Consider the following 20,405-nt stretch of genomic DNA (forward strand, 5'->3'; position numbering starts at 1 on the left):
ACATAGTGAGACCCTATCTCTATTTAAAAAGAAAAATAGTTTTAATCAAGTATAGATCACATACCAACCAGGGCATAGGATCTTCAGGGAAGTAGGGATAGGTCCTAGGCTTTCGTTTCCACTTACAACAAAAAAACAAGCCCAGGGCATAAACTGGAATATATACACAGATTCCAACTGTGTAAAATATAGATTAGGGATATCTTTAAAATGCTAATAGTGAACTTAGAGTACTCTAATGCTTTAATATTCATTAGTGATTTTTAACATTATAAAGTCAATTCATAATTAGAAGTTATCATAAAATAATAGCCTGCCTTCTCAAATAAAAGTAAAAAAGGGGAAGGCATCCTTTACATGCTTTAGGACTCTCAAATTTTAGGTCTTCTGGGGAACCTTAATAATAGCTGAAGGGTGTTTTTCTTTCACCCAAATCACCTCCAGATGCACCAGATATTTAAATGCAGAGGGAAAAAAATGAAACCATAGCACAGGAATAGAAAACATGGGTGTGTTTTTTTCCTTTAATAATCTTGACATGCAGAAGACCTTTAAGTATGAATCACAAAACTGAGGCGCCATAAAGAAACAGAACAGGTAAATTTGACTAAATGAAGATTAAAAACTTCAGCATGGAAAACTTATCATAAAACTCAAAGAAAAATGACAAACTAGAGAAAATATTTGCATAATATCACTGACAAATAGCTAATCAATTTATTAAAGGCTCAGCTAGGGGCGGTGGCTCACGCCTGCAACTCCAGCACTTTGGGAGGCTGAGGCAGGAGAACTGCCTGAGCTAAGGAGTTTAAGACCAGCCTGGGAAACAATGGTGAGACCCTCCATCTCAAAAAACATATTATAAAATATTTTTTAAAATAAAATAAAGGGGTCAGGCACGGTGCTCCACACCTGTAATCCCAGCACTTTGAGAGGCCAAGGTGGGTGGATCACGAGGTCAGGAGTTTAAGACCAGCCTGGCCAAGATGGTGAAACCCCGTCTCTACTAAAAATACAAAAATTAGCTGGGCGTGGTGGCAGCCCCCTGTAATGCCAGCTACTCAGGAGGCTGAGGCAGGAGAATCACTTGAACCTGGTGGGCGGAGGTTGCAGTGAGCCGAGATTGCGCCACTGCACTCCAGCCTGGGCGACAGAGTGAGACTCCATCTCAAAAATAAATAAATAAATAAAATAAAGGGCTTGAACAAATCCAACCAGGAACAATAAAAATGACTTTAGTCAAATTTAACTATCTTGTTTCTTTGTGGCACTGGAGTTTTGTGATTCACAATGAAAATGACAAGGCATATATGAATAGGTGGTTTACGGGAAAAAAATGTAATAGATGAATAAACAAACTCAACCTCACTAAAAACTAAAGAAATACAAATCACCACAACAATGATATATATCACTATACCTCAACTAGATTGTCAAAAATAATAAAACATTGAAATACTCTGTTAGGACCAGGCACAGTGGCTCATGCCTGCAATCCTAGCACTTTGGGAGGCCGAGATGGGAGGATCACTTGAGGCCAGGAGTTCGAGAACAGCCTGGTCAACATAGCAAGACCCTAATCTCTATTTAAAAAAGAAAGAAAGAAAGAAAAAGTTTGTTGGTAAGGATGTGGGAAAACAAACACTAGCATCACTACTGATGAAAATGTTCAACCATCTTGAAGAGCACTTTGGCAATATCTAGCACTTTGGCAACATCGAGCCAGGCACAGTCAGCCAAACCTTTTATAAATTAAAGGAATTAGCTGTTTGTTAAAGGTACTATGCAAATATTTTCTCCAGTTTGTCATTTGTCTTTTTATTTTACGATAAGTTTTTCATACTGAAGTTTTTGTTGTTGTTTTGAGATGGAGTCTCACTCAGTCACCCAGGCTGGAATGCAGTGACACGGTGGCTCACTGCAACCTCCACCTTCCAGGTTCAAGTGATCCTCCTGCCTCAGCCTCCAGAGTAGCTGGGACTACAGGTGCCCACCACCACGCTTGGCTAATTTTTGTATTTTTAGTAGAGATGAGGTTTCACCATGCTGGCCAGGCTGGTCTCAAACTCCTGATTTCAGGTGATCCGCCTGCCTCAGCCTCCCAAAGTGCTGGGATTACAGATGTGAGCCACCATGCCTGGCCTCATGCTGAAGTTTTTAACTGAAAATGCACAGGCCAGGTGTGGCGGCTCATGCCTGTAATCCCAGCACTTTGGGAGGCTGAGGCAGGTGGATCACCTGAGATCGGGAGTCAAGACCAGCCTGACCAACATGGAGAAACCCCATCTCAACTAAAAATACAAAATTAGCCAGGCGTGGTGGCACATGCCTAATCCCAACTACTCGGGAGGCTGAGGCAGGAGAATCGCTTGAACCCGGGAGGCGGAGGTTGCGGTGAGCTGAGATTGCGCCACTGTACTCGAGCCTGGGCAACAAGAGTGAAACTCTGTCTCAAATAAATAAATAAATAAATAAATAAATAAATAAAAAAAAAAGAAAATGCACAAAACATCTGATTCAACAATTTGACTACTAAGAATTAACCACATAAATAATAATAGTAAAATAGTTGCCAAAGTACACAAGTTACAAGTACAAATATCTATACTGCAGGATTGTTGTAATAGCAAACACTGAGAAAAATACCTAAATATCCATCAGCAGAAGATGAGGTAAATCACTCAAGCCCAGGAGTTTGAGGGTTGCAGAGATGGCCCATCCCTACAGTCAAGTTCTGAGTTCTAAAATGAGATAGATCTATATTTCTTCATATGGACAAAAGTCCATAAGATTTTGTCTGGTTTTTAAAAAGCTGTAAAATAGTGTGATAGGTCCCCATCTTTTGTAAAAACAAAAGATGTTTTTTCTGTGTGTGTGTGTGTGTGTGTGTGTGTGGCTGGGTGTGTATATGATATATAAATATATGTAGAAAAAGTCTAGAGGATCATGTGTGGTTTTCTCTAAGTAGAGGCATTATAAATGATTGTCACTTTATATACATACTTTATATCCTGCTCTTTTGTCTGAAAATTCTACCCAGAGCACACATGATTTTATAATCAGATAATAGAACATACAGACACACATACACACAATGGGCAGGATAAAGTGGGATGCCAAAAGAAGGGGACCATTTATGACAAAATGTAAGTTTCCTATTTTGGAAATATTTGCAAATATCTACATGGGTGTGCCTTCCCCTGACTTCTCCCGGCTTGGCAAATGAGACCGGGTCCTGGGAGTGGCTGACTACCTGTCCTAGAGCCCTGTATGTCCTGGACACTCCCCAGCTTCCCTCTGCTGTTGCCTCCTTCTCTCCTGGGAGCATTTCCCAGGCCACCTCATTTGTTTGCTGTTTGTCCAACGCAAATCTACGTTGAACAACAGGAGGCCAAGGCTGAGGACCTGGCCCCTCTTTCCTCCCGATCCCCTCCAAACCCAACTTCCTGGTGTCTGACCCTCGATGGCTTAAAGCAGTGGCTTCCAAACTACAGATCACATAATGCATCAGTGTAGTGTGTCATGGCCAGTGTTTAAAGACTGAAATAGGCTGGGCACGGTGGCTCACGCCTGTAATCCTAGCACTTTAGGAGGCCGAGGTGAGTAGATCATCTGAGGTTAGGAGTTTGAGACCAGCCTGGCCAACATGGTAAAACCCTGTCTATACTAAAAATACAAATTTAGCCAGGCATGGTGGCATGCCCCTGTAATCCCAGCTACCCAGGAGGCTGAGGCAGGAGAATCGCTTGAACCTGGGAGGCGGAGGTTGCAGTGAGCTGAAATCATGCCACTGCACTCCAGCTCAGGCAACAGAGCAAGACCCTGTCTCAAAAACACACACAAGGTTGGGGTGGTGGCTCACGCCTGTAATCCCAGCACTATGGGAGGCCAAGGCGGGTGGATCGCCTGACATCAGGAGTTTGAGACCAGCCTGGCCAACATGACGAAACCCCATCTCTACTAAAGATACAAAAATTAGTCAGGTGTGGTGCTGCATGCCTGTAATCCCAGCTACTCCAGAGGCTGAGGCATAAGAATTGCTTGAACCCGGGAGGCAGAGGCTGCACTGAGCCAAGATTGCACCACTGCACTCCAGCTTGGGCGACAGAGCGAGACTCTGTCTCAAAAAAAAAACCCCAAAAACCAAGCCAAACAAACAAAAAGCATCATATATATTAAGAGTAAAGTGTTGTTGGTGAAACTCTTGTCTGAAAAATTGTATGCAATTTAACTGTATAACAGTCAAAAAAGCTTGAAAAATACTGGCTTAAAATGATTAAGAACAGGTCTTAAGTCCTGAGAACAGCAGCCCCTTCCCAGTTCTGGGTTCTTTCTCCCCATACCAAACCAGAAACCACAAAGAACGATGAGGAAGGGAGCAGGATGCTGACCCGTCACGGTGACCAGTTCACTCTTGGTAGATTCTGAGGTCTGCATATGGATCCCAGAAATGATCCTAGCTTGACATCGGAAGGATAAAACGCGGTCCTGTTCCTCAACGGGGAATTCCAGTATCACAAAATTCTGGTCTCGAGAATTCTTCTCTCTTTTCAGCTTGACCATTTTTTCATTTAGTTCAAGTTTTTCAATTGTGAAGTGTATTGGGGCCTTTTCCTCTGGGACAGAACAGTTGACCCTCACGATCCCACCTTGGATGGCCTCTTTCTTGTCCAGTGTCACCCTGGGACTGGGCACTCCTACGGGGAAAGAGAAAGTCTGTCAGTATCAGCCTGATTGAAGAGAAAGTCTGTCAGTATCAGCCTGATTGAGAGACACAAGCCTCCCTCCGCTGAGTGACTGTAGTTGACCCATGAGAGGGCTCTTTTTTGTTCTCTGAACACCCAGTGCGACCTACCAGGTAATAAATGAACAGGTATGTGCCCAGCACAGTACTAGGCACTTTGAAATATATAAAATCTGGAGGCTGAGGTGGGTGGATCTCTTGAGCCCAGGAGTTGGAGACCAGCCTGGGCAACACGGTGAAATGCTATCTCTACAAAAAAAAAAATTAAAAATTAGCCAGGGGTAGTTAGTGGTGTGCACTGGTAGTCCCAGCTACTTGGGAGGCCGAGGTGGGAGAATCACCTGAGCCGAGGAGGTTGAGGCGGCAGTGAGCAGTGATCCCACCACTGCACTCCAGCCTGGGCAACAGAGACCCTGTCTCAAAAAAGAGAAGAAAAGAAAGGAAAAAATATAAAATATGCTCAATGGGAGCTAAGCTATGAGGAAACAAAGGCATAAGAATGATACAGTGGACTTTGGGGACTCAGGGGAAAGAGTGGGAGGGAGCGAGGGATAAAAGACTACACACTGGGTACAGTGTACACTGCTCGGGTGATGGGTCCACCAAAATCACCACTAAGGCCACGCGAGGTGGCTCACATCTGTAATCTCAACACTTTGGGAGGCTGAGGCAGGTGGATCACCTGAGGTCAGGAGTTTGAGACCAGCCTGGCCAACATGGCGAAACCCCATCTCTATTAAAAATACAAAAAATTAGCCGGGCATGGTGGCAGGCACCTGTAATCCCAGCTACTTGGGAGGCTGAGGCAGGAGAATTGCTTGAACCCCGAAGGCAGAGGTTGCAGTGAGCTGAGATCGTGCCACTGCCCTCCAGCCTGGGCAACAGAGTGAGACTCTGTCTAAAAATAAATAAATAAATAAATAAATAAATAAATAAATTTAAAAAATAAAATATGGTCAAGATGTACTTGGTGTTTTCAATGGTTTATAATCCTATTGGGAAGAGGACACAATCAGATTCCCAACAGATGATGCTTAGAGGGGAAAGGTAGCCAGTATTTGTCAGTGTCACTGTGATTGTTGTTACCCTTTATTGAATGCAGCCACAGGCTAGGACTGACTTTAATTTATTCCATGAACATTGACTGAATGCCTACTATGAGCCACATTCATTGTTCAAGATATAAGAATAAACCAAACACCATCTCTGTCTTTACAATTTCACTATCCAGAAGAGCAGACAGATGTGTAAGAATGGATGGCAATACTGAGTGAAATAGAATATTTGTGGACCGGGCATGGTGGCTCACACCTGTAATCCTGACACTCTGGGAGGCCAAGGTGGGTAAATCACTTGAAGTTAGGAGTTCGAGACCAGGCTGGCCAACATGGTAAAACCCCATCCTTACTAAAAATACAAAAAATTAGCCAGGCACAGTGGCGCGTGCCTGTAATCCCAGTTGCTTGGGAGGCTGAGACAGGAGAATCGCTTGAACCCAGGAGACAGAGGTTGCAGTGAGCCAAGGTCGCGCCATTGCTCTTTAGCCTGGGTGACAGAGGAAGACTCTGTCTCAAAATAAATAAATACATTTCTATTTATTAGGAACTCACTAGGTGCTGGAAATTTTGCTAAGCACTCTACCCACATGACACTTTTAACCCTCTCAATAATTGCCTGAAATGGGTATCGTTGTTATCTTCCTTTTACTGGTGAGGATTTTGAAGTTTAGAGCTGTTAAGGGACTTGCCCAGATTGAAACCCAGGCAGAGTGACTGCAGAACGAGGTGTCTTAACACACCGCTGTGGCCTTTATACACACAAATACCATTGAATGTAGAGAGAGCATCAGAGCTGTACTGACTGGCACCCTGGGGTAGACCCATTTTGTTTTGGAAAGAGAAGACATCATTGAGTTGAGTCTTGAAGAAGAAATTTTAATTTATGAGACGAGATGAAGAAGCATTTTGGGAGGCCAAGGCAGGTGGATCACTTGAGGTCAGGAGTTCGAGACCAGCCTGACCAACACAGTGAAACCCCATCTCTACTAAAAATACAAAATTAGCCAGGTGTGGTGGCACACACCTGTAATCCCAATTACTTGGGAGGCTGAGGCAGGAGAATCGCTTGAACCTGGGAGGCAGAGGTTGCAGTGAGCCGAGATCACACCACTGCACTCCAGACTGGGTGACAGAGTGAGACTCCATCAAAGAAAGAAAGGAAGGAAGGAAGGAAGGAAGGGCCTGGCCTATTGGGAATATGTCTAGTGCTTACGTATTCAGGTAAGGAAAATGCCAGGCAGATGAATGAGAGGGTGATGGGTGGAGAGTTAAGTCCAGTGTCACTATTCATTCACAGCTGTTATTCACGCCACTGTGTGCTATGCTCCATCTGCTTGCCTGTGCTCAGTTCCAAGGACTCACCTTCCACCAACACCTGGTACTCTGCAGTGGTTTTCTCTTTGTTGTTCACAATCACAGTACATTTATATGTCCCTGAGTCATAGATCCGGACTTCAGGAATAAAATAACTCTCTGTGCTCTTCATGGAGGAGATGTTGTAAAACAGCACGTCATCCTTATAGAACAGCATCTGGTGCTGAGGCTTGACGTGAGAGGTGGTGCTGACATCCGCGAAGCACTGCAGGGTCAGGTTCTTCCCATTTTGCACCGTCCAGTCCGGCAGGCTCTTCATGTCAACACTGTTGATTGTGAAAGCTAAATGCAAAGGGAAGGAAGGCAGACATACCTGTTATCTCAGAAACAACATCATCCCGGTGACCTTCACCACATCAGATGTGGTCTTATCCCATCCTATGCAGTATTGAGTCCAGGGGTTCTACGTGCCTACAGGGCCAGGCTGATAGTAACTGTGCACAGTGGCTCAAGCAGGAGGCAGTTGGTACTAAGCTGCAACTTTTCCCACCAAGGCAAAGGAACAGAGTGTGATAAAGATGTAGAGCTAGGTATGGTGGCTCACGCCTATAATCCCAGCACTTTGGGAGACCAAGGTGGGTGGATCACCTGAGGTCAGCAGTTAGAGACTGGCCTGGCCAACATGGTGAAACCCCCTCTCTACTAAAAATACAAAAATTAGCCAGGTTTGGTGGTGCAGGCCTGTAATCCCAGCTACTTGAGAGGCTGAGGCACAAGAATCACTTGAACCTGGGAGGCGGGGGTTGCAGTGAGGTGAGATCTCACCACTGCACTCCAGCCTGGGCGACAGAGTGAGACTGTCTCAAAAGACAAAAAAAAAAAAAGATATAGGCATTCTGTGAGCTGCCACATCTTGGCCCCTGGAGGGAGTACAGGATTCAAGCAGTCAAGTGTTCAAGTCCTGGCTCATCATTTACTGTGTGACCCTGGGCAGCTAGACTCTCTGAGCTCAGTTTCCTTACCTGTAGGATGGAGTAATCATATCTCATTAGGTCTTTGCAGGAAATGTACAGGAGAACAGCCAGAACGTCTCCTGTACAGTGCCCGATATACATTAAGTGCTTAATAAATGACTGCTACCTCCATTCCGAAACCAGATGGTCGTGCCCAGGCCCTCCTTCTCCACCCAGGCCTTACCGAATTAGCACAGTCCCAGCTGGCATTTTCTATCTGATGGGCTCTGAGGTTTCACCAGATGGTGAGGACTTGAAACCAGTTTTTAGCCTGCTACTTGCGTTTTCAGCCTCACCTGCTACCAAGAAGCAAAGACTACAGATTCCCCTCTGCCAACGGCAGGAATCTCTGGTCAAGCCTCAAAACAGCCACAATGCTCAATCAGCTATCCAATCTCTGCTAGGAACTAGGCTGTGGGTCAACTGGCCAATTGTGTCATTTCTGGCAAGTCCCCAGAACAGAATTGGCTTATATCCAGTAACCATAGGCTGTCAATAGAATTCAGCTAACTACAGATCACATATTGAGGCTCATTCACAGTAGCAGGCTGACGGAAGGGTGGATTGCTTAAAATTGGGTGCTCTCTAGCTATTGCTGTGTTTTTGTCAGTTGGTTGGTTGTGGGCAACTGCCCTGAAAATTTTCCAGGCTAGAAGATCCTGAACCATGCCCATGGGTCAGGACTTGTATCCAAACTTCAGAGCAGACCAGGGTGAACTGCTTTTTGGAGATCCTCTTGGCAATGCCTGTAGGTGCTTCTGCAGCCCACTTGTGGTCTTAGTTTTACCCCTTGACATATCTCAAAGCACTCACTAGCTTCCCTGTGGTTGTCTTTTCCAAGCACATGAATCTGGGTTTAATCAGCACCATAAAATATTCACTCTCCAAATTCCTGTCAGAAAACAACTTCAAACATCTCATGTTCTATACATGGCTAAAAAAAATATGGATGAAGCTAGGTGCAGTGGCTCACACCTGTAATCCCAGAATTTTGGGAGGCCGAGGCAGGAGGATCGCTTGAGCCCAGAAGTTCGAGACCAGCCTGGGCAACATGGCAAAACCCTGACTCTACAAAAATACAAAAGAATCAGCTGGGCATGATGGCATGTGTCTGTAGTCCCAGCTACTCAGGAGGCTGAGGTGGGAGGATCACCTGAGCCTGGGAGGTCGAGGCTGAAGTGAGCCATGATCATGCCAGTGCACTCCAGCCTAGGTGACAGAGTGAGATCCTGTCTCAAAAAAAAAAAAAAGAAAGAAAAGAGGCCAGGCGCAGTGGCTCACGGCTGTAATCCCAGCACTTTGAGAGGCCAAGGTGGGTGAATCACCTGAGGTCAGGAGTTTAAGACCAGCCTGACCAACATGGTGAAACCCTGTCTCTACTAAAAATACAAAATTAGCCGGGTGTGGTACATGCCTGTAATCCCAGCTACTTAGTAGGCTGAGGCAGGAGAATCGCTTGAGCCCGGGATGCAGAGGTTGCAGTGAGCTGAGATCGCGCCATTGCACTCCAGCCTGGGCAACAAGAGCGAAACTCCATCTAAAAAAAATTAAATAAGTATAAAAAAGAGAAAAAGTAATTGATCTGTAGGGGATTTGGAAAAAAATGTACTGAAAGTCCATGACCATAAAACCAGGTGTTTTTCCCAAATCCCTACACGTCCCCCCAGAAATTTCTACCATGCCCATTCTCAAGGAAGCTACCTATCCAGCATTTGGACCTGGGATTGAAAGTGACTATGTCTGGTATGCTTTCTTAGCCCCCCATCTATCTCCATGAAGTATGAATAATGCAATCATGGAATTTTTTAAAATTTTTGAGTGAATGGAGCAGTCCAATGTTTAAAACTCTCAAAGACAGATGACATGATATGTAAAAACCTCAAAGAGTCTGCAGACAAATTATTAGAAATAAATGTGAGTTTAGAAAGGTGGCTGGATAAGGCCAGGAATGGCAGCTCACACCTGTAATCCCAGCACTGTGGGAGGCCAGGAGTTCGAGATCAGCCTGGCTAACATGGTGAAACCCCGTCTCTACCAAAAATACAAAAATTAGCCAGGCATTGTGGCATGCACCTGTAATCCCAGCTACTTGGGAGGCTGAGGCAGGGGAATCACTTGAACCTGGGAGGCACAGGTTGCAGTAAGTTGAGATCACAACACTGCACTGGGCGACAGAATAAGACTCTGTCTGCAAAAACACAAACAAACAAACGAAAAAGAAAGGTGGCTGGATATAAGATTAATATTTTACAAGTCAGCATAGTGGTCATCTCTGGAGGGAGGGGCTATGGGGTAGGGAGAAGCACAGATGCAAGCTATTAAATGGTCTTTTGGGATGTTGGTCTGGGATGTTGATGAGATATTGTCCCTAATTTCACAAAGTGTTCCAACAGCACCAGGAAACACTGTGTTTATGCTGAACAACTGATTCATTTCTATCTTGTGGATTCTGAGAATGTTCTAATGGACCTTGTTCCTCTTTTTGCTTTGATTGTTAACACACAGCAAAAATTTCACCTCTGCTTCTAGCAATCTTTGGGATGCGTTTGTGCTAAATGGGCCATAGCTTTATTTCCCTGCCTTTATTTTTCTCTCATCCTGATTTCCTCATTAATTGTATCTCATTGAACAATACATAATTTTTATAAGTGGTCCCAAGTCATTTTTTTGGAATAAGAAAAAAGTTAGTTAGCTAGCTGGCCAGAGATACTGGCAGAACCTGTCCTTTCCCTCTCTTTTAACAAAGTTAGGCCTTTGTTGGGTAATTTAAAATTTAATCTTCAATTTTAAAACGAGTACTACAATTTGCGCCTGCTGCTATATTCTGAGCAATTAATTTAACAACAACAACGACAACAAAAATGGTGTCTGACCAGTCCATGAGATGAAACAAGGTGACGGTTTAAATTCAAGTCATTTCCCACAGCATTACTCTTTGGAACTCCCTTTTTTGTCTTTATATGCAACTTACAAGCTCCTGATTTAAGAAGCCTGCTGGATGAGCTCTCGACACACAACTTTCTTTGGACCAGCCGGGCACGGTGGTTTATGCCTGTAATCCCAGCACTTTGGGAGGCCGAGGCGGGTGGATCACTTGAGGTCAGGAGTTCAAGACCAGCCTGGCCAACATGGTGAAACCTCATCTCTACTAAAAATACAAAATTAGCCGGGTGTGGTGGTGGGCGCCTGTAATCCCAGCTACTTGGGAGACTGAGGCAGGAGAACTGCTTGAACCTGGGAGGCAGAGGTTGCAGTGAGCCAAGGTCATGCCATTGCACTCCAGCCTGGGAAATAAGAGCAAAACTCCATCTCAAAAAAACCTTTTTTTCCTTTGGACCATATTAATTTCTCTGCACTCCTCAATTAATATAGTTCCCTCCCAACCACTCTCTTCCCTCTCAGAGACAGTTAGGTCTCCTTCCATTACCTCTTCAGTACTTCCTCCTTCATTTTAAGCTATGCTGTGTATTCCAGTGACTCAACCAGGAGATACTAAAGAGCAGAAATCAAGTGCACGGAGCCAGACCTGGGCCAAATCTCATCTCTGCTACTAACAAAGCTGTGTGACCTTTGGCAAGTCCCTAAATTTCTCTGAGCCTCAGTTTGCTTATCCATACAATAGGCACAAGGAATGTAAGTATAAATGAGAACCTGAGTTTAATTACTTAAAGTAGAGTTCCTGGCACCTATAAAGTGCTTGAGAAATGTTAGCTAGATTCTTCCAGTTACAGAAATAAAGTCGACTCTTTTTTTATTTTTTAATTTTAATTTTTTAGAGATGGGGTCTTACTATGTTGTCCAGGCTATTCTTAAACGCCTGGCCTCAAGCAATCATCCCGCCTCAGCCTCCCCAAGTGCTGGGATTACAGGCATGAGCTGAAAATCAACTATTCAGAGCTTTAAAGCTGTGTCTCCACTACATGTTTCTAGGGATTTTTTTTTTTTTCAAATAAAAACCATATTTAAGGCTGGGCGTGGTGGCTCATGCCTGTAATCCCAGAACTTTGGGAGGCTGAGCTGGGCAGATCACTTGAGGTCAGGAGTTCGAGACCAGCCTCCTGGCTAACATGGTGAAACCCCATCTCTATTAAAGATACAAAAACTAGCCAGGCGTGGTGGCAGTTGCCTGTAATCCCATCTACTCGGGAGGCTGAGGCAGAAGAATCACTTGAACCTGGGAGGTGGATATTGCAGTGAGCCGAGATTGCACCACTGCACTCCAGCCTGGGCAACAAAGATAGACTCCATCTCAAAAAAAATAAACAAAATAAAAAGCATATTAAACATTTTCAGGTTAATTTAAAGCGACTTCTCCAGCCTCCCAGTTTTGCTCACTCCACTGCGTGCTCTCCACACGAGTCATTCATCTGCTCTCCTGTTTACTGAACGAGCTGCCCATCCCTGGCTGGTTATGCCCTAGACCAGCAGACAGTGCTGGGTACAGAAGGGAGTCAGACATACCAGATTCAAACCCGTGATCCCACAGTGCTTAGCTGGGTGATCTCGGGAGTTATTTAACCTCTCTGGGCCACCACGTCTCTGCCTACGAAGTAGGAACATGAATACCTGCCTTCTCTGGTATCTTTAACCTAAACAGTGACTGCGCCAAAGTGGCTGAGGGCACAGAAGGGGCCGTGTATATATTGCCCAGTGCCTGGCCTCTGGTTGACATTCTCTGCCTTCTTCCTTAGCACCATTCATAGCAAACATTTAAGGGGGTTTTTCTGTGCCAAGCACTGTCCCCCATACTGGGGGTTCAGAGAACAGTGAGGCTGGCAGTGTCTGCCCTTGGAGAGCTCATTCTGCACTCCACAACTCTTCCTACTCTGGGCCTTCCAGCCTCAGCACAACCCTTGCGTGAGCCTCCCACTAACCAGTCCTAGTTCATTTGATTTTTATAAAAGCCCTCCCTTTTTAAAAAACAATTTTAAAGCAAATTTGGCTAATGCACCAAGCAGTGGTTTTTCCAGTAGGGATGGTACCCACTAGCATGGGGCCCGTCCACCATCTTGTTTTTCTAAGCAACTCTAACACACATTATCTGCTCAAATAAACAAACTCGGCAGGGTGTGGCGGCTCACACCTGTAATCCCAGCTCTTTGGGAGGCCTAGGTCGGTGGATCACCTGAGGTCAAGAGTTCGAGACCCGCTGGCCAACATGGTGAAACCTAGCCTTTACTAAAAATACAAAAATTAGCCGGGCATGGTAGCGGGCACTTGTCATCCCAGCTACTCAGGAGGCTGAGGCAGGAGAATCACTTGAATCCAGGAGGTAGAGGTTGCAGTGAGCCAAGATCACATCATTGCACTCCAGCCTGAGCAATAGAGCAAAAACTCCATCTCAGAAAATAAATAAATTAACAATAAACGAACTCAATGGATGCACTGGCAGGAACACCACATTCCCATGGCTAGCTCGAACAGACAAGGGAGAAGAGAGGGCAGGATGGAAAAAAGAAAAGCATTTTATAAACTCTGTTGAGATATGAGTCTCAGCTCTTCATCTTAACACAAATATCATCGACAAAACAACAAAAACAGTGACCTAGTTTTTACCGCCACAACCACCACCACCTCCCTTGCTATAGAAGCCCTTCAAGATGCCCCCCCCAATGGTCCTTGCCCTCTGCTCATCACACTTACACGTGGTCACCTCCCACGTTAACATTAACCAACAAAATACTCCATCAGGTAATAAAAGACAATGCAGCTTTTATCCTGATCACTCTCTCTCCTGTCTGGGATCCCTCATTCTGGGGAATGCCAGCAGTCATAGCATAAGCAGCCCTGTGGAAGGTACCCAGGATGAGGAACTAAGGCCTCCAGCCCATAGCCACAGGAGTGAGCTTGGAAGCAGATTCCCCAGACTCAGTCAAGCCTTCAGATAACCGCAACCCTGACCAACAATTTATCTGCAATCTAATGAGACCCGGTGCCAGCACCACCCAACTCAGCCACTCCTGCATTCCTGACCCTCAGAAACTTCAGGATAATAAATCTGTGTTATCTTAAGCCAGTAAGTTTTAGGTAAATTGTTATGCAGCAATAGGTAACAAATATACCACGCAACCAAACTTCAAAAGTCTCTGCCTGATTCTTGTTTTGATAATATGGAAAACATTATCATCTTTCTAAATAAACCAGCCAAGCACAGCCAAACTGAATTACTGCCTGTAGGTCTCACTATTTACACAGAGTGACTGTTCACAACCTGGGGGACACAGCCCCTGGGAGGTGCATGGGTGGGTGTTAGGAGGCTCATCAACTACCTCCAATTGTGTGCAAATGTGTGCTTTTTCTGGAGAGAAGGCCCACAGATTTCCTTACTGAACCCAAAAAGTTTCAGGACTATTGTGATGAAGGGTGGGGCTGTGGGACAGCCTAAAGAGGTCAGATCTTTTCAACCCGGGGAGATGAAGGTTGACGGAGAAGGATCTAAATTTGGAAAGTCACCACGGAACAGCCAGTGACCACAGTGCCAAACCCCAACATGCTAAAAACAGTGGGACCTTGACCTCAAGGCCACTCATCAGTGGATGGTGGTGCTCCCTGGAAACATGCGGCACCATCAGTCAGCCAGCCCCCTGGCCCTCAACCTGGAAATGACTCAGAGAGAAAGTGGAGGGTGCAGGAGAAGGAGGGGCTGCCCACCCTCGTCAGGAAAATTACTGGGAGCCACGAAGCATAGAGTCCCTGATGAACTTCTGTGCTCATCAGAGAGCATGCTGAGCCATCTTCCTACCCGAATCTCAAGCATCTCCAAGTTCAGTTCAAGTTCCCATCCAATGAGACATGTGTCGAGAACCTGTGCCAGGTGCTGGGCTGACAGAGTAAGTAAGAAATCATCCTTGCTGTCCCAAACAGCAAAGGTTGCTGGGGCCCACATAGCTGGACTCCAGTGATATCAGTAAGCACCAAGAGGAAGGGCTGCCCAGGAGAGGTCAAGGAGTCTGAAGGAAGTGACCACTGAACTGAGCCTGCCAGGCCAAGGACAGGCAGTGGGGTACTCCAGGTAAGAGAACAGCGTGTCCCAGGACACGAGGGTGTGAGAAATCCGTGCCTTCTGGGCATGGCCCATTACAGAAACCAGAGTGTGGGGCTAGAGAGGCCAGGTGGCTGGGTCTGTCGTGCCAGAATGGAGGGCTGGCCTGCTGTGCTGACAAGCTGGGCCCTGTCCTGAGGGTGTCAGGAGGGGTGTGACAGCACCCAAGGCCAGTAAACAGCTTGGAAGTGGTTCAGGTGAAAGCTGATGAGGCCTGAGCTAGGCGGGTGCAGTGGGGATGAGGGAAGGATAGGCTGGGGATCTCCTGAGTGGACTCAACAGGACTTGTTTCTGGGGTGTTGAAAATGTTCTAGAATGAATCCCAGCACTTCGGGAGGCCAAGACAGGTGGATCACTTAAGGTCAGGAGTTTGAGAATAGCCTGGCCAACATGGCAAAACCTTGTCTCTACTAAAAATACAAAAATTAGCCGGGCATGGTGGTTCGTGCCTGTAATTGCAGCTACTCAGGAGGGTGAGGCAGGAGAATTGCTTGAATCTGGGAGGTGAAGGTTGCAGTGAGCTGAGATCCAACCACTGCACTCCAGCCTGGGCAACAAGAGTGAGACTCTGTCAAAAAAAAAAAAAAAAGAAAAAGAAAGAATATGTTCTAGAATTAGACAATGGTGATGGTTGCACAACACCGTGAATGTACTAAATGTCATTAATAATAAATGTTATATTATTTGTATTTTACCACAATTTAAAAAAAGACTTTGTTTGATTGGATATGGGGTTGAAAGAATGGAAGATAAACTTCCTGGATTAGATTCCCAGGAGGATGTGTGTGCCACCAAACTAAAATAGAAAATGCCACACGCAGCTGGGTGTGGTGGCTCATATCTGTTATCCCAGCACTTTCGGAGGCCGAGGCAGGAGGATGGCTTCAGCCCAGGAGTTTGAGACCAGCCTGGGCAACAAAATGAGACCCCAGTCTCTACAAAAACAAACAAACAAACAGAAAAAGATAAGGAAGGAAGACAAAGTGATGGTGGTGCAGCTGCGTGTGAGGGGCCAGTAGGAGGACTGGGAGGAGACATCAAAGGTCAGCCTGTGTTAACTGGAGGCTCAGGGCAGAGGCCAGGGCTGGACTGTGAAGGTGGGAGGAGTGTGAACTTAGGGGAGGAGGGGGGAATGTGGAGGTGTTGAGAGGGGAGCTGGTCTCCAGGGAGGATAAGACCAGGAGCCCGCAGAGACCAGGACAGGGTTCAGACTCCAGGAGAAGACAAAGTAAGTCCAAAGTCAGCCATGGGGGAGAAGGAAGAGGGTTTGTTAGAGAGTGAGGAGACAAAGCAGGGAAGAGGATGGAAAAGGTCAAGGAGCGAGGCTTTGGGGCACGATCAAAAGTCAAAGGCAGGAAAGGGGTACAGGGAGCCGAGGGCTGGAAGTGTCCGTTGCATTTGGCATCAGGTGGTCCTTGGTGACCCCTCAGCAAGAGGAGACCCAACAGCCGGAGAAGTGGGGCCTGAGGCCAGGCTGCTGGGAGGCGAGGCGTGTCTGAGAGGTGAGGTGGGTAGGCACAGATTATAAACTAACTTTCAGAGAGGTTCGACTGAGAAAGGAAACTAGAAAGGCCAGATAGGGGGACACCAGATAAACGGTGGGGGTGGGTGTCTGCTTGTGATTTTTCTTTTTCCTAAAAAAAGAGTTCCCATTCACTGAGAGAACAGAGCCAGAAGCAGAAATAGAGATTCTAGAAGTGGTGGTAGGGGAGAGGGACTTGAATGCACGTAGGCGTGGGGTCCTGGGGGTGAGGAAGGGTCTCAGCCTAAGTGCCTGGCTGGCCCCCATCAGCTGAGGAGCAGGGTGCATGTGTCCTCCGAGGCCGGGAGGGAAACCGAGAGGATGGGTGGAGAGGCTGATAAGCCTGCAGCCAGGCCCAGGCGGGAAGTTGAGGGAGTTCCCTCCAGATGACTGTTTTCTAGGTGAAGATGGAGCAGCCGTCACCTCCTGAGGTGAGGCAGCTGCAGTGAGGTGCGGGCTGGAGGGGAACAAAGAGGCCTGAGATGGAAGGAAGGGAAAGGGCCGAGGCTGTCCCAGGACCCCAGCCGCAGAGCGGGAGACTCAGAGCAAGCCTGCAGGCCACGCACTGCAAATGCTGGCCTAGGGGGCCTAAGGAATGGAGACCTGGTTCCAGCCGCCGCCCTGCCCACCCCCAGTGTTGACCCTGCTTGCTTGGTGCCTTGTGGCCTCTGGGTCTGTTTCCTTGAGTGTAAAACAAGGCAGAGGCCTGAGGAGGCAGTGGGAGAGTCGCTCCCTGTGCCATGTGCTGCAGTTCCAACGTCTTCCCTGAAGGTACAAAGAACATTCATTCTCTAGGAACCCAAAGGAGGGAGCAATTGACTTCCATGTGGTGTGGAGGGGGAGAGGGGAGAGCACCACGGTTTTGGGAAACAGGATGTTGTGGGTAAGAAAAAGAGGGACCCCAAAGCGTGAGTGTCTGCAGGGCAGGGTCTGGCCCAAAGGGTGTGGTCTGGGAGGGTACGAGGGCTGGAGTGGACAAAGGGAGAGTGGGTAGGGCAGGAGTCACAGTCGTAAAGGGGGGCTAGGACCGTGTAGTAAACACCATTGTCATTTATCAATCACCTCGAGGCGGGGGCCAATTAATCACCTCCTTTTATCCAGTCTCAACCTCACACCCACTTCATGCCCACGAAGTTCTCTTATCATCCCCATGTTACAGATTGGGAAAACAAATCAAAGAGCTTAAGTAAAACTGGTCTAAAAGACTTGAGTCAGGCCTATGGCTCCAGACAAATGGTGCAGCTTCAGAGAGTGGAAGTTCCAGTCCCAGTGCCCAGCCAACTGCCTCTCTCGTGGACAAATCGGTTCTTTCTTTCTTTCTTTCTTTTTTTCTGAGACAAAGTCCTGCTCCGTTGCCCAGGCTGGAGTGCAGTGGCGCAATCCTGGCTCACCGAACCTCTGCCTCCTGGGTTCAAGCAATTCTCATGCCCCTGCCTCCCGAGTAGCTGGGATTACAGGCATGTGCCACCATGTCCAGCTAATTTTTTGTATTTTTAGTAGAGACGGGGTTTCACTGTTTTGGCCAGGCTGGTTTTGAACTCCTGGCTTCAAGTGATTCGACCACCTTGGCCTCCCAAAGTGCTGGGATTACAGGTGTGAGCCAACGCGGCTGGTAAAATCGGTTATTTCTGAGGCTTGGTGACACCATCAGTCCAGCAGGATAATTATGAAGATTATGGATATCCTGCCTCCGTGGGTTGCCATGGGGATCAAATGCCCAAGGAAGCACCTACAGTTGAGCAGAGAAGCCTGGCAGAGGGGCTTTGCCAGTGGCCAACTAGCCCTCCCCAGCCTGGGGCCACTGCTCCGAGGCTTGACTCACCAGCTAGCCTTGCCCATGGACTTCACCTCCAAAGAGCTGTGCAATTTGCCTGCAACCCAGTCACCTCCATTCTTTGCTGATTGCAGTGACTTCTGACAAGGAAATAGTGTTCTGTGGGCTCTCCCTCTATTCACAGCCCCGGGACACTACTGAGCCCCCTCATTCATGTGGTCCCAGAAGAAGCAGAACAAAACCCTCTCATCTCAAGACAAAGGTTCAAAATTAGCTGTAAAGTGGAAGATAAACCAGGCTTCAAAGATAGGCAGCACCCCACTTCCCTTTGTACAAGCACAAAATATTACAGATATACTTGTAGCCTCACAGGTGAATGGAAAATGAGCTCCAGTGTGTGATTTTTATCATTTAGGAGTAAAAAAAGTAGCAACAATTTAAACTAGGATCTGTCTTCATATGTCTAACAAATCAATTATATCTCATTTGCAAATAAAAACAGTTGGGGATAGGTTACAATATTCAAATAAGCCATTATGGTAAAACAACAAAAAACTAATTATGGAATTGCTCATTAAAATAAAAAAATCACCTCCCCATCCCAAAAAACAGCAATGCACTGAAATCTAGAAAATGTGAGGCCGGGCGCGGTGGCTCACACCTGTAATCCCAGCACTTTGGGAGGTGGAGGCCAGCGGATCACCTGAGGTCAGGAGTTTGAGACCAGCCTGGCCAACATGGTGAAACCCTGTCTCTACTAAAAATACAAAAATTAGCCGGGCCTGGTGGCATGCGCCTCTAATTCCAGCTACTTAGGAGGCTGAGACAGGAGAATCCCTTGAACCCAGGAGGCGGAGTTTGCAGAGAGCCGGGATTGCACCACTGCACTCCAGCCTGGGTAACAGAGACTCTGTCTCAAAAAAAAAAGGAAAAAAAAAAGAAAATGTGTGCTACTTATAATTGTGTTTTTTGCCATCTTTTAAAAAAGTAATGGCAAAAACCACAATTACTTTGCAACAACCTAATATATTTTTAGACTAGTCAAGAGTAGTCGTGAGAACAGAGAAAAGAACATGGAGTTTGATCTGTAACTGACTAAACAATTCATCAAGATAACCCACTACTTTCAGACCAGCCAAGGAAACGTGTGCTACTTCTAAAACACACTGACCAGAACTTGGCTTAGATCTAAGCCTTTCTAAAAATGCCCACATGGGATAAACTTTAGTTCTCAATTGGATTCTTTTCCTTAATTGTTAGAAGTATCAAACCCCAGCAATTTAATGTGCGTTTTAGGCATCACAGAAGAGAAAGGAGGAAGCCAGGTAGAAACATCTGTTACAGTGGAAACATCAGACTTACAGTTTTCTTGACCCTCAAGGCTTGAACCTGCAAGAAACATAAGAAACATGTTGATTCCAGAAGCTTCGATGCTCATGGAGTTAAAGTGATGTGGAAACAGAGTAAACACTCACAGAGCAGAAGGGTCAGCAGGACTCCAAGCCACATCGTGGCCCCTTGGGCCCACCTCGGCTGCATCCTGAGAGTGAAGACTGCAGGCACAGTTAGTTCTGCCTTCGGGCCATGACTCGCTCAGCAGAAGGCACTGCCCACAAGTCACCGTTGAGAAACCCGCCCTGTGAAAAGCAGAAATTGCTCTGGTCACTTCTCCCGGCGCCTGCAGAGAGACCGGCTGTGGCGCTGGTCAGGTAATGGCAGCCATGGCTGGAAACCGGGAACAATGGGGCCTGGGCTGGCCTGATATCTCCTCAGGAAATGACCGGCCTTCCTGAGGGGCCACCGAACGCGGCCGCTTTGTTTAGTTTCTTTAGGGAAAAAACAAGGCACAAGTGACATTTGCCTTGGCGTTCTTGACCCTCCCTCTGTCTCGCCTGGGTTTGGGGGCCCTTCTCATGGCACTGTGAGGGGATTCCTCCC

At 46.6% G+C, this 20,405-nt stretch overlaps 1 protein-coding gene across 8 annotated transcripts in view; it reads right to left on the minus strand.

Moving 5' to 3' along the window:
- PECAM1 (platelet and endothelial cell adhesion molecule 1) overlaps positions 1 to 20,201 on the minus strand; it is a 71,446-nt gene extending 51,245 nt beyond the window's left edge. For all 8 annotated transcript variants that reach the window (XM_017024741.2, XM_047436251.1, XM_017024739.2 and 5 more), the window contains exons 1-4: positions 19,943 to 20,201; positions 19,830 to 19,856; positions 7,165 to 7,458; positions 4,392 to 4,697 (exon numbers count right to left, since the gene is read on the minus strand). In XM_017024741.2, the coding sequence (XP_016880230.1) occupies positions 4,392 to 4,697; positions 7,165 to 7,458; positions 19,830 to 19,856; positions 19,943 to 20,006 (691 nt within the window). In that variant the 5' untranslated portion in view covers positions 20,007 to 20,201. The remainder of the gene's footprint in view (positions 1 to 4,391; positions 4,698 to 7,164; positions 7,459 to 19,829; positions 19,857 to 19,942) is intronic.

This window comes from Homo sapiens, chromosome 17, assembly GCF_000001405.40.
Source record: "Homo sapiens chromosome 17, GRCh38.p14 Primary Assembly".
NCBI lineage: Eukaryota > Metazoa > Chordata > Mammalia > Primates > Hominidae > Homo > Homo sapiens.